Source organism: Homo sapiens, chromosome 11, assembly GCF_000001405.40.
Source record: "Homo sapiens chromosome 11, GRCh38.p14 Primary Assembly".
In the NCBI taxonomy this organism is placed as follows: Eukaryota; Metazoa; Chordata; class Mammalia; order Primates; family Hominidae; genus Homo; species Homo sapiens.
The window spans coordinates 1,407,425-1,421,905 of record NC_000011.10 but is presented as its reverse complement, the minus strand read 5'-3'; the positions used below and the strand labels follow the sequence as shown (position 1 = coordinate 1,421,905).

At 58.5% G+C, this 14,481-nt stretch overlaps 1 protein-coding gene across 29 annotated transcripts in view; it reads right to left on the bottom strand.

Annotated features, from left to right (window-relative positions):
• The window catches only part of BRSK2 (BR serine/threonine kinase 2), a 72,756-nt gene that overhangs the window by 40,784 nt on the left and 17,491 nt on the right, over positions 1 to 14,481 (bottom strand). For 12 of the 29 annotated variants that reach the window (XM_017018532.2, XM_017018534.2, XM_017018537.2 and 9 more), the window contains exon 1: positions 12,047 to 12,159. The exons of 12 other annotated variants lie outside the window; for them this stretch is intronic. Coding sequence is in view for 2 of the 17 variants with exons in the window: in NM_001256630.1 (NP_001243559.1) it covers positions 10,273 to 10,501 (229 nt within the window). In the remaining 15 variants the exon portion in view is untranslated. Of the gene's footprint in view, positions 1 to 10,272; positions 10,755 to 10,999; positions 11,437 to 12,046; positions 12,160 to 12,274; positions 12,486 to 14,481 lie in introns of those variants that run through there. 5 more of the 29 variants (NM_001282218.2, NM_001440675.1, NM_001256630.1 and 2 more) reach the window with 3 other exon arrangements.

The window sequence follows — 14,481 nt, the reverse complement described above, 5'->3', positions numbered from 1 at the left end:
ACCCCGGTGCTGGGCCGGCAGGTTTGCTCCCCAGGCTGGGGGTTCTCCCACCTGCCCCGAGAGGGGCCTCTGAAGTTGCCACAGACATTGAAGCCTTGTTCCTTCATTAGCACCCAGGCCCTTGCTCCCCGACCCTTCGGCCTCCTCAGTCTGGGGGCACCCAGGCTCTATGCACCCCCACCCTGCACACCCACGGTAACAGCCCCGACACAGGAGCTGGGGCAGGGGGCAGGAAGGAGCGAGGCCCTCAGCACACGCTCAGAACATCAATAGATCCCACAGCCTCCACCGCCCACCAGTGCCAGGTGCAGAGGGAAGGGGCGGCGCATCTCTTGGGAGACAACTGCTCACGTTGGAAAAGAACCTCTCTAGTTAAATTCGTGCCACCCTGAAGCATTTCACACGCACTGCAGCCGCTCCGCTGCCTCTGCCTGGCTCCCGCCTCCTAACCCAGCACCCAAACAAAGGTGGGATGCAGCTCCCACTGGGGACCAGATTGTGGAGGAGGAAGCAGCTTCCCAGCCCTAGGCTGTTCCAGGATCCAGGTCCCTTCCAAGCAGAGGCAGGCATCTCTGCAGCCAGAGATGGGCAAGGGTGGGCCTGAGCCAGGGCCAGACTGCAGACGCCTGCCTCCCTCCTGGGTGTGACCCCAGACGTGCCTGGCCTCAGGGGTCTCCTGACACCCCGTCCTGGGGGGTGAAGATTAAATGAGAGCCCCCACACTGTCCCTCCCCTCCGAAGCGCAGCCTGGGACCCAAAGCACAGCCTGGGACTGTACCAGGAGGAGGCCCAGGGTCAGCCAAGCCAGGAGCCCACAGGCAGCCCAAAGATCTGAATCCTAAAGATCTGAGGGTATCACTCTGAGCATCCCAAAGCCCCTCTCTGCTCTGCACCCAGATGAAAGATGTCGGTGGGAGGCCCCAGTCAGGCTCCAGGGTTGAGACCTACTTGCCAGCACCCAGCCAGAGGGCCGAGGGGGCCCTGGGGGGCACAGGCCCCTCCCCATGAGAGGCTCAAGCCAGGCTCTTAAGGTCAGGTGGAAAAACAGGGAGTTGCCGGGCACCTGCTGGATGCCACATGGAGGCTGAGCCCCCAGGACTGCCAGCCCCACCTAGAGCTGAGGACAGGAGTAACCAGAGGAGTCCCCCAGGCAGGCCACAAAGAGGGTGACAGCCAGGGAGGAGGCTGCAGGGAGGAGGTGTATCCCGAGGGGACAGTCTAGGCAGTGGAGGAAGAGGCTGGAGCTGGGGACCAAGGGGGTGGAGATAGGACTTGGGGGAGTCACAGGGGGTCCAGGCAGGGCCTGCATGGAGGGGCCCAGGCCCAGGCTGGCAGACCTCACACTCACCTGTCAAACCTTCCTGAATTAAACAAAAGGGAGCCTGGCCGTGACGGGGGAACCTCTAAACATTCAAGAACCTTCTAGAGGCAGGCAGGCAGAGAAGGCAGGGGGTGGGCCTGGGCCTGCCTGTCTCCAGGGGACCTGGAAAACTGAAAATGTCTGTTAGCCAGAGTGCAGGGCAGGCCTCAGGTGGGGCTGCAGACACCCTGGAGCATCTGCCAAGGGCGTGCACAGGTTGGGACAGCCCTGGCCAGCCTCTCCCCTCTCTGGGCCAACAAGAAGGGTAGTTGGGGTCACACCCAGCAGAGCAGGGGCCGGCCCTGTGGCAAAATCTGTCTCATCCTAACAAGGCCACCCCACTTCCTGCCCATTAGGCCATCACACATGCACACACGCACACATGCACGCACGCACACTTGCATGCATGCACGGACACCGAGCCTCCGGGCAGAGGCCCTGCCTTCCAGAGACTCACACAAGACAACATTCCCTCTTATCCAAGAAAGAGGAGGCTCTGCACTCAACCAGGCTTCCTTGGAGACGAACGACCACGTGCCCGGGTGTGGGAGGAGGCGCGGAGCCTGGAGCAGAATCGGGAGCACCAGTCCTCAGGAAATCAGGATTTCAAACATTCTTGTTTCTGTTTTTTTCGAGATGGAATCTGACTCTGTCGCCCAGGCTGGAGTGCAGGGGCGCCATCTCGGCTTACTGCAATCTCTGCCTCCCAGGTTCAAGTGATTCTCCCACCTCAGCCTCCTGAGCAGCTGGGATTACAGGCGCATGCCACCACCACACACAGCTAATTTTTGTATTTTTAGTAGAGACGGGGTTTCACTATGTTGGCCAGGCTGGTCTCAAACCACAGACCTCAAGTGAGGCCCCGCCATGGCCCCCCAAAGTGCTGGGATTACAGGCGTGAGCCACTGTGTCTGGCCAGAAATGAGAATTTCAAAAATTCTGTTGATTGCACCAGTGTGCTAGGATTTAGTGAGTGGCTGCATCTATAAACAAGGTCTACAAAAACGACTAAGAAACAAAAAAAAGCTCTAAGACATGAAAAATAATAACTGCTAGAATAAGAAACTATTTAAATAAGGACTGAAAAAATGAGAAAATTCCCAGCAAAGCAGAACAAGATAACAGAAAGACATAGAGAGACCACCGACCTGACAGCTCAGTATTTGGAGCTGCCCGGGCAGCCAGCGGCTGGAAACACCACCCAAGAGGGAATCACGTCCCAGGGCCCACAAACACAGCTCAGCGAAGGCCCCCCGGTGCCCAGACTCACACCTGACATGCACCTGCAGAGCCCACAAACACAGCTGAGCAAAGGACCCCCACCCCGCCAGTGCCCAGACTCACACCTGACACGCACCTGCAGAGCCCACAAACACAGCTGAGCAAAGGCCCCCCCCGCCACCAGTGCCCAGACTCACACCTGACACGCACCTGCAGAGCCCACAAACACAGCTGAGCAAAGGCCCACCCTGGTGCCCAGACTCACGCCTGACACGCACCTGTAACTGGGAGCTCCCAGACACTTGCTGCATTCAATCAATCAACCGATCAATCAATTAATCAATCAGGTATTCACTGAGCTTCTATTAGTGACAGGCACTTATGGCACTACAGAAAAAAAAGAAAAAACTTCCCCACCCAGGGGTTCAGTCCCTTGGATATGTGTTAGAGCTGAACAGAAATTTGCTGGAGGGACCCCCAGTCCCAGTCCAGCTGAAGTCCTGTTTGGATCTGGCTGAGCAGCCCCCCACATGCCCAACACAGGCAGGGAGCCCCTCCAGGATGACAGCTCCTACTTCAGTCTGAACTGCTGCTCTAAATAAACAACATGCAGTATCCAACAAAACATTACAGCGTATGCAAAGAGGTGGGGAAATGGGACCCCCTCCAAAGAGAAGAAACAGCCAACAGAAGCAGGACACAGTGTGACCCACTCTCAAGAGAAGAAACAGCCAACAGAAGCAGGACACAGGTGACCCACTCTCAAGAGAAGAAACAGCCAACAGAAGCAGGACACAGGTGACCCACTCTCAAGAGAAGAAACAGCCCACAGAAGCAGGACACAGTGTGACCCACTCTCAAGAGAAGAAACAGCCAACAGAAGCAGGACACAGTGTGACCCACTCTCAAGAGAAGAAACAGCCAACAGAAGCAGGATACAGGTGACCCACTCTCAAGAGAAGAAACAGACAACAGAAGCAGGACACAGGTGACCCACTCTCAAGAGAAGAAACAGCCAACAGAGAAGCAGGACACAGGTGACCCACTCTCAAGAGAAGAAACAGCCCACAGAAGCAGGACACAGTGTGACCCACTCTCAAGAGAAGAAACAGCCCACAGAAGCAGGACACAGGTGACCCACTCACAAGAGAAGAAACAGCCAACAGAAGCAGGACACAGTGTGACCCACTCTCAAGAGAAGAAACAGCCAACAGAAGCAGGACACAGTGTGACCCACTCTCAAGAGAAGAAACAGCCAACAGAAGCAGGACACAGGAGAACCACTCTCAAGAGAAGAAACTGCCAACAGAAGCAGGACACAGGTGACCCACTCTCAAGAGAAGAAACAGCCAACAGAAGCAGGACACAGGAGAACCACTCTCAAGAGAAGAAACTGCCAACAGAAGCAGGACACAGTGTGACCCACTCTCAAGAGAAGAAACAGCCCACAGAAGCAGGACACAGGTGACCCACTCTCAAGAGAAGAAACAGCCCACAGAAGCAGGACACAGGTGACCCACTCTCAAGAGAAGAAACAGCCAACAGAAGCAGGACACAGTGTGACCCACTCTCAAGAGAAGAAACAGCCAACAGAAGCAGGACACAGTGTGACCCACTCTCAAGAGAAGAAACAGCCAACAGAAGCAGGACACAGTGTGACCCACTCTCAAGAGAAGAAACAGCCAACAGAAGCAGGACACAGGTGACCCACTCTCAAGAGAAGAAACAGCCAACAGAAGCAGGACACAGTGTGACCCACTCTCAAGAGAAGAAACAGCCCACAGAAGCATGACACAGTGTGACCCACTCTCAAGAGAAGAAACAGCCAACAGAAGCAGGACACAGGTGATCTAAATGCTAGAATTTTCAGAAAAGGATAAGATAATATCACACATATATATATTTCATTGGAGAAAAAGATGAACGAAATTAATTCAGTGGATTGGCTGAACAGCAGCGTGGGTACAATAGAAGAACAGTGACCTCAATGACCAGCCAGCAGAAACTATCCTGACAAGCACCAAAGCAAAAAAGGGAGGTGGAGACCTCACAGCATGTCAGGTGCCTATGGAGCCCCCTCATAGTCTAAGGCACTTGTTCCCAGAGTCCCTCAATACAGGAAAGAGCAAATAGGGAAAAGGGCGCATTTTATTTTTATTTTTTTCTGAGATGGAGTCTCGCTTTATCCCCCAGTGTGGAGTGCAGTGGTGCAATCTCAGCTCACCGCAAACTCCACCTCCCAGGCTCAAGCAATTCTCCTGCCTCAGCCTCCCGAGTGGCTGGGATTACAGGTGCCTGCCACTACACCTGGCTAATTTTTGTATTTTTAGTAGAGATGGGGTTTCACCATGTTGGCCAGGCTGGTCTCGAACGCCTGACCTCGTGATCCGCCCTCCTTGACCTCCCAAAGTGTTGGGATTACAGGCATGAGCCACCGCGCCTGGCTGAAGAAGCCACATTTTAAGAGAGAACAATGAAGAATTTCCCCAAATGTACTAAATACATCAGCCCGTGGATCCACGGGGCTCACTGAACCTCAAGCAGGACAGACACCTGGAGGAACACACCAAGGTGGGTCACTGCGAAACACACAAAACCGAAGGATAAAAAGAAAACCTCAAAAGCAGCCAGAGACACACATCATACCCAGGGCCTCAGTGGTGGCTGCCTCTCACCAGCAGAGGACCATGGTGTAGCACCTGCTAAGCACTCAAAGGAAACCCAGAATTCTACATTCAGCAAAAGTATCCTCCAAAACTGAGGCTAAATACAACCGCCGGTAGTTAAATGAAAGCCGGGGGAACGTGTTGGACACAGACGTGTGGGAAGCCCTTCGGTCCGAGGGAGGTGAGCCCAGGCCACAGCCTCAGGGAGAGGTGACGGGCACTGGGAAGGGGGCACATGAGCCTAAAAACCTGTTCTTACAAGAGCATTTCTCGAAGACTGACCCTGCAAAACAGCGGATTTTGCGGACGTGACACCCAGGAAATAGAACACTCAATGCTGCAGTCCACGGGCTGTGTGGCTGGAAGGACGTCCTCACAGGCATCATACTCTGTGCCCACGAGACCCCCCAGCCTCAGGACCCTCCGTACTCTTAAGAGTTACTGACAAAATCAAAGTGCTGTGGTTTGTGTGTTTCTATCCACCAACATTACTGTACTTGAAATTAAAACAGAAATTTTATAAACACATCCCTCCCCCTCCCCTTGCCCTAGCTCGGGTGGCCCCAGGCCCTGGCCATTGCAAAGGTCCCCGTGCACCAGGTGAGCCCTGAGGTTGCCAAGAGCACTAATGAACTTGGTTCAGCTTGCCTGGTTCCAGTTCCCACTGGCAATGGACTTTGAAACTCTCAACTTTTCCCAGTCTGAAAAACCTACATCACAGAAAAGAACTGCCAGGGGCACTCACCTGCCCAAAGCTGGGAGCTCCGGCCTTTACCACAGCTGCCCTCCCAGGGGACAGTGGCCGAGGAGGCCGTGGTGGAGCCCGTGCAACAGAAGGGGCAGCCGCTCCAAGTCCTCTGCTGGGACCAAGTCCTCTGCTGGGACCACCGTGTGGGCAGTGAGCAGGTAATGGGTTCCTCCAAGCCAGTGAATTCTATGAAGGAAAGTGAGGGACCCAAGGGGGCAGAGCAGGCCCCGGGCAGGCAGGGGTGCCAGCTATCCAGCAGGGACCAGGGCTGCCTTTTCTGTGGGGCCTTAAAAAACCCAAATGAGGCTGACTAAAACTGGGTCCAATGAGAAAGTCTGGCAGCTCCTCAAAGTTAAACACAAGCCAGGTGCAGTGGCTCAAGCCTGTAATCTTAGCATGTTGGGAGGCCAAGGCTGCAGTGAGCCACAATCAAATCGCTGCACTCCAGCTGGACAACAGAGTGAGACCCTGTCTCAGAAAAATAAATGAACTAATTTTTTTAAAAAGGTAAAGACAGGGCCAGGCGCAGTGGCTCATGCCTGTAATCCCAGCACTTTGGGAGGCCCAGACGGGCGGATCATGAGGTCAGGAGATCAAGACCATCCTGGCTAACATGGTGAAACCCCCTCTCTACTAAAAATACAAAAAATTAGCCAGGCGTGGTGGTGAGCGCCTGTAGTCCCAGCTACTCAGGAGGCTGAGGCAAGAGAATGGTGTCAACCCTGGAGGCGGAGCTTGCAGTGAGCCGAGATCACGCCACTGCACTCCATCCTGGGCAACAGAGCGAGACTCCATCTCAAAAAAAAAAAAAAAAAAGGTAAAGACAGAATTACCACTCTGAGGTCTATGCTCCCAGGAACTGAGCTCAGGGACCCACGTGGGTACTCACACACACGTCCACAGCGCGCCACTCCTGAGAGCCACAAGGTGGAAGCAGCCACATGTCCACGGCAGATGATAGGCGAACAACGTGGTCTGTCCACACAGGTAAGTGCGTTCAGCCTCAAAAGGAAGGAAACCCCAACAGGGATGACAACAGGGATGGCCCTGAGTACATTCTGCTGTGTGAAGGAAGCCAGACGCAGACGGACGCACAGCATGGGACCAGTGTCTGTGACACGTCCAGAAACGGAAGGCAGGCCACGCTCCCACGGATGGAGGAGGGGCAAGAGAACGTGTGGCGCAGGGTCCCTTGGGGTGGAACATTCTGGAACTAGACAGTGGTGGCCGCGTAGCACCGTGAATGCGCTAACCGTCCCTGAATTGTATGGTTAATTTTATATTATGTGAATTTCATTTTAATTAAAAAAATTCAGTCTACTTTTTATCACCCTACACTAAACAATGTCAGTGATAAAATACATGCCATTTCCAAAACACAAATCTTCCTTGGCCTAAGTTCCAAACAATTGCTGCCTTTGAAGCTGCACCTTAGCATACTCTGAGGCTCCTTAGCTTCTAATGAACACCGCATTCCACACATAAGTTCATCCTGGGATCCCAGTGATGCCAACTCTCTACAGAGGGAAGTTCCTAGCGCCCTGAGATCCCCGGAGCACACTGTGGGGCAGTGGCATCCCCAGCCTCAAACTGCCACAGGGGCATGGAGACACCTTTCCAGGCGGAGAAGCAGCCTGGACACTCCCAGGCCGTCCTCCTCCTGCCCGGCCTCTGGAGATTCTATTTGCACATAGAATTTTAAACAACGGGACAATGGCAACTTTGGGGTGTGGTATTTTTGACCAGCACAAATCCTAGTTCGTACAGAAAAATTTGAGTATCTTTAATTTGAATATCTTTATGTTTGAAGGCAAACTCTTCCTTTTAAATTAATGAACAATTGTTTTTAAACTAAGCACAGATGGAGAAAACGCAGTTATATATCCCTGGGGATCACATGACTATTTCCAAGTCTGGCTACAGTAAACCGTGTGAGGAAGTGGCTGGCGCTGTGTGTCCAGTGTGGGAGGCAGCCCATTTTCCTCGGGGCAGAAGGCAGAGCTGGGCGCTGTGGCTGCCCACCACTGTGCAGCAGCAGCCCCTTACCCACCCGACCTCACCTGAGCTCCAGCCCCTGGGGCTGCTCCTTGGCTCTGGGGCCACTGATGCCCCCAGAGATGGCAGGAGGGGCTGATGGAGTGGGGGTGCCAGGCCCCACCACCCCAGGCTCAGCTCAGGCCCCTCCTTTTGGTTCCCCCGTTCTGCCCAGGCCCCGCCATGGACCTGTGTTGTCAGGGTCAGTGGGTGGTGGGCAGTGCAGGGAGCCCAGGCCACATGGCCCAGCTCCAGGCACACAGACCCCAGACGCCCATGACCACTTCCTTCCTGGCTTGGGGAAGTTCTACTGGGGAGCTGGATGCCAGGGCCCATGTGGGCTGTAGGGCTCCCAGGGCAGAAGGTCAGGGCACAGCCTGGGCACAGGGCCCCTCCACCTGCAGAGATACCACTGCCAGGGCCCTCAGGGCTGGACAGAGACAGCTCAGGCCCTGCAGAAGCCTCTGGCCTCCAAGAAGGATGAGTCTCCTACCATGGTCCTGGGGCACTGCCTCTGTGAGTCTCCCCGTGGCCCCTGCAAGGGGCTGCAGGGGTGGGAGGGGTGGGCCAGAGGGAGGGTCTCCTGGGCTGACCCCAGTGGACAGTGGGGTCAGGGCACACCACACCTGAGGGGGTGTCCCGAGGGGCCGTCCCCAGGGGCCGTCTGGGAGGCAGAAGCCCCCAGGGGAGCTCATGGCAGCTGGACATCTGGCTGGCTCCAGTCAGAGATCCTGGCTTAGGTCTGAGCTGGTGCCATGAGATGGGGAGAGACCCACCCCAGTCCCTGCCCAGCCCCATCCTCCCCAGGAATGCGGGTTCTGAACGCAGGCTCCTAACATGGGAAGAAGGAGGCCAGGGCCTGGGGTGCCGGGGGCAGCGCCTGCAGTGAGCCCCGCCCATCCACCCCTCAGGCCTACAGCAGTCAGAAAGGGCGTGCACGGTGGGAGGCCATGGGCGGTCCCGTCCCATGCGAGTGACTGCCACTACTGTGCCCTGGGCCAGAGACCCGACGGGCCTGGGACGCAGGGTTGCCTGGGACGCGGGGTTGCTGTGTGCGGCCAGGGCTAGTGATCCAACGGGCCTGGGTTGATCTGTGCAGCCAGGGCACCGTTGCCCACTCCCAGCAGGCAGGAGGATCCCCTCTGGGCTGGGGCTGCCTTATCTGACCCCCCAGCCACTGTCCCTGGCTCAGTAAAGGTTTTCCCACAGACACCTCAGCTCTGCTGGGCCCCTCCCACCACTGGACGCCCTCCCCGCAACCCGACCCTGTCTCGCATTTTCTGAGGGCGCCTGCTCCCTCGGCCCCGCCTACCAAACAGCTCAGACTTCACAGACCAGAGAGGACAGAGCAGCACAGCTCAGAGTTCACCAATCACAGGACGGGGCAGCACAGCTGAGACTCCACCCACCACAGGACGGGGCGGCGCAGCTGAGACTCCACCCACCGCAGGACGGGGCAGCGCAGCTCAGACTCCACCCACCGCAGGACGGGGCGGCGCAGCTGAGACTCCACCCACCGCAGGACGGGGCGGCGCAGCTGAGACTCCACCCACCGCAGGACGGGGCGGCGCAGCTGAGACTCCACCCACCGCAGGACGGGGCGGCGCAGCTGAGACTCCACCCACCGCAGGACGGGGCGGCGCAGCTGAGACTCCACCCACCGCAGGACGGGGCGGCGCAGCTCAGACTCCACCCACCGCAGGACGGGGCGGCGCAGCTGAGACTCCACCCACCGCAGGACGGGGCGGCGCAGCTGAGACTCCACCCACCGCAGGACGGGGCGGCGCAGCTGAGACTCCACCCACCGCAGGACGGGGCGGCGCAGCTGAGACTCCACCCACCGCAGGACGGGGCGGCGCAGCTGAGACTCCACCCACCGCAGGACGGGGCGGCGCAGCTGAGACTCCACCCACCGCAGGACTGCTGTTAAGGCTGGTGACCAAGGCCACGTTCCCCACAGGATGGGGCAGCACAGGGGGCAGAGCTCTTTTTGGGAGGGCAAGATGAGGGCCCGGATGCCAGGCCGGGCCAGTGGGCAGGAGCCTCTCCACATAGGGGCAGGCGCCTCTCCACATAGGGGCAGGCAGCGCCAGCGTAGGAACCCGCACAGCTGGCCCTCCCAGCAGGTGCAGCCCACCAGTGCTGGCGAGGTCCCCCGTCCCTGCCGTGGGGGCTGCATCCCTCACACATGAACACACTCCTCCCTCGAGGGGCCCTGGCCAGCCAGGGAGCGTGGCACGCACCTGCTGGGCTGGGCTGCAGGCAGAGCCAGGTCTGGCCTTGAGGAAGGTGGAGGTGCGGCTGGAGCAGCTGTGGGCCGGGAGTGTGGCCAGCTGGCACTCTGTGATGTGCGGCCCCTCCCCTGCCCACCGCTGGGCCAGACCTGGGCTCTCTTGGGGAGCAGAGGGAGGAAGGACAGATGCAGGGCCGGCGGGGACGTGCCCATCGGCTGGGGTGGCCCTCAGGGCTCATGGGGTGAGGCTGGTGCCCTACCAGGCTCCCTCCCCAAACTAGGGCCAGATGGGGCAGAACTGTGCCCCCTGCTCCGGCCCCAGCTTCAGGACCCCACCCGGGCAGGCCATGGCGGGGCACTGGCTGCTTTCCTGCTGATCTGGCCCAGGAGCAAGGCTGTGAGGAAGGAAGCTCAGAGCACGTCCAGAACCCGCTCTCCCCTCAGCAAGGCTGGCTCAGTGACCAGGAAGGAGGAACTAGCCAGCCTGAGACTGGAGCCCCCACCCTAGGCCCCTGAGGATCCCCAGCTGGTCTCCAAACCTGGGCTGCCTCCTCCAAAGCCCGCCCCCTCCTCCTTCCTGCCAAATCTCCATCTGTTGCCATGGTGATGGGAGCAGAAAAGGCAGACGCACGGCTGTTCTCTCCGCCCCTGCTCCTGCCCCCCTCAGCGGGGCCCTGGGCTGGAGCCCCCACCCCAGCCAGCAAGGGCCCTGGCCTCTGAGACTGGGGAACACCCACCTTCTGCACAAAAGGGCCGTCGAAGGCCCTCCTACCAAGTGGCTGCTGAAGCTCCTCCTCAGGCCACAGTGGTCTCGGTGGTGCCCTGCTGTGCCTGCCGGGTGGCGGGGGGGCCACCTGTGGCCTTCTCAACCAGAAGGGGTGTCCCCCAGCCCCTGAGAATGGAGGACCAGCCTCCCCCATGGTCCCACCCTAGGCAGGCGGGGGCTCCTGAGGGTGGGCGTCAGGCAGTGCTGACTCAGGGCCACAGGTGTGCCTGGGTGGGTGACCAGCCCTCAAAGACACAGTGTGAGCCCTGCACTCGGAGCCCCCGAGTCCACTCCCGGGGACCAGAGAGCCTGACGACATCAAAAGCGGCGTCTCGTGCTCAGCAGTGAGGCCTTTGAAGCACCGAAGTCTGCGGGCCCAGCACCCATCGCACACAGCAGCATGACTACGCTGGGTGCTTTCACGGCGCCCCCAAACACGGACTCTGCAACTGTCACCGCTCTGCGAGGCCGACGTCACAAACCCCCCCAAACACGGACTCTGCGACCGTCACCGCTCTGCGAGGCCGACGTCACAAACCCCCCCAAACACGGACTCTGCAACTGTCACCGCTCTGCGAGGCCGACGTCACAAACCCCCCCAAACACGGACTCTGCAACTGTCACCGCTCTGCGAGGCCGACGTCACAAACCCCCCCAAACACGGACTCTGTGTCCGTCACCACTCTGCGAGGCCGACGTCACAAACCCCCCCAAACACGAACTCGTCACAAACCCCCCAAAACACAGACTCTGCGACCGTCACCGCTCTGCGAGGCCGACGTCACAAACCCCCCCAAACACAGACTCGTCACAAACCCCCCAAAACACAGACTCTGCGACCGTCACCGCTCTGCGAGGCCGACGTCACAAACCCCCCCAAACACGGACTCGTCACAAACCCCCCAAAACACAGACTCTGCGACCGTCACCGCTCTGCGAGGCCGACGTCCCAAACCCCCCCAAACACGGACTCTGTGTCCGTCACCGCTCTGCGAGGCCGACGCCATGAGCGCCCCACCTGCACGCAGGGCTCTTCCCTCTGCTTTTGGAGCCGCTGGTGCGCTCAGAAAACCTGTGTCTCCGGCAGGCTCCCCATCTCGGTGGTTCCTGAAGCTCTGTGGAGGCACGACTGACACGTGACAGCCAGCACGCATTTAAAGCACACGCGTGTGAAACCATGACCTGAGGGCCATCATACCTGACACCCCCAAAGCGTCCTTGTGCCCTTCATACACCCCCCACCCACCTCAGCAGTGGCTCTGTCTCTGGACGGCGCCTTCTCTACAACACCCATAAACAGAACCACACCGCACAGACACCAACTTCCGCGGACGCCACACAGCCTCCAAGGAGACACAGAAGTGACTCAAAGCCCCCGGCACACCCTGAGCAGGGGAGCCCCGGTGAACTGGGGGAAAAGGCCCTTCTCACGGAAGGTGCTCTGACCAGTTCGTTACAAAACCACCAACACTCCAACTGTTTTAAATGAGCCAAGGACAGGTAAATCGCTAAGGAAACACAGATGACTAACACCTGTGCGAAGGAGCTCCACTCCCACGGCCCAAGCAGCACGACTGAGCACAGGGAGAAGAGGCGGGCACGGGAGCATGAGGATGCCAGCTGCCCCGTCTGCAGCCCCAGCCTCTCCCTGACTCCCCCAGCTCCAGGCTGCAAGGGGTGAAGGGGATGGCTGGGGCGGGGCAGAGAAACAGAGAGGGAAATGCAGGCCCTGAGGAAAGCCAGGCCCATGCCTCCAGGGTCAGACGGCACACACAGATGTGTGTACACACACCCTTACACAGGCACACACATACACACACATCCCTGTACAGGCAGACACACATACATCCCTGCATAGGCAGACACATATGCACACCCCTGCACAGACATACACACACACACACACACACCTGCACAGGCAAACACCTGTATACAGATACATACACACACACACCCTTGCACAGGCAGACACACATAAACCTCCATAAGGCAGACATACACACCCCTGTACAGGCAGATATGCACACACACCCCAGCACAGCCACACACACACACACACACACACCAGCACAGGCAAACACACACCCTTGCACAGCCAAACACACACACACACCCCTGCACAGGCAGACGTGCACACACATACCCCTGCACAGGCAGATGTGCACACACACACACCCCACCTGACTCACTCTCAGATCTAGTAAGGACCAGCGGGGAGGGTTCCGACGTGAACCCTGACCTGTGCCATCAGGTTGAGGGTCTGCGATGAATTCCGCCTGTCAGGATGGCAGCCACAGGGGTGTCCTTGAGGGTCCAGGCCCTGGACCTGACAAGGAGTGGCCATAGCACTCAGGTGTCTCCTGGGAAGATGGGGGGACGTGGCACAGGCTTTGACCTCAGGATACCCCCAGCCTGGTGGCCGCTGTGTGAAGACCCCCACCCCATACAGCCTTCTCCCCAGTTCTCCCGTGGCTGCTGCCCTGGGGCTGGACGCTGGACTTCTAAGGTGGATGGTGACCTGGGACCCTGGACTCCACCCTCCCCAAAGCCAGGGGCTATGAGAGGATCAGCAGGAGCTGGATGGATTCCTGGGGCATGAGTGTGGGACTGCAGAGGACTGCTGGACACAGGGAGGGGAACTGGTCAGGTGGCCAAGAGAAAGCTCCAGCAGTGGAACTGTGGGCTCTAGGAACAGGCGGAGGGAGGCTGGGGCCCGAGGCCAGGCCCGCCTGTGCTCCCCACGCCATAAGCCTCACAGTTTGCCCCAGGGAGGCCAGAGGATGGGCTGCAGAGAGTATGGGGCTCAAAGGTGGATTCTGGAGTGGAAGGACCTGGGACCAGGAACCCCTCCACCAGGAGGTGATGGAGGAGGTGCCCAGGCAGCCCCTGCCCCCTCTAGCTGCAGGGCAGGTGGGCTCAGCTCCAGGGTGGGCAGGAGACCCAGGCGGCCTTCCCTGGAGGGCACAGGTGCCCTGAGGCTGTGGATCTGAGGGCACACTGGGCAAATGGAGCAGCAAACAGCCCCTCCCTGCCGGGCCCGCCCCACACTCTGGGAAAGCCCTCCTGGAGGTGGCACCTGCCTGGAGGCGGCGGGACCCAATCCCAGCGGAGCCAGTTGATCACGTTAGACTTCTATTAACTGGTTTTCACAATTCAATATTGAAAGATTAGCCCGATGAAACATTTTGATTGAATCCTGTAACTATTTGGTGATTCAGTCTCTGAAGCTAGTGTCCTAGTTTAGGGGCTGCGTCGAGGCCCCTAGAGGGTCTAGAACCCCTGCAGAGCTGCTAGAACCAGGCTGCTAGAACCCCTGCAGAGGTGGGGTCTGAGGCACCCCATGAAGGAAGGGGTCTCCTGGGGGTCAGCAATTTCCTTGAAGGTCATGCAGGGCAGGCGGCAGGAACAAGGGCCTCGGAGGGGAGGCCCGTGCAGGAAGACGGGTGGCACTGT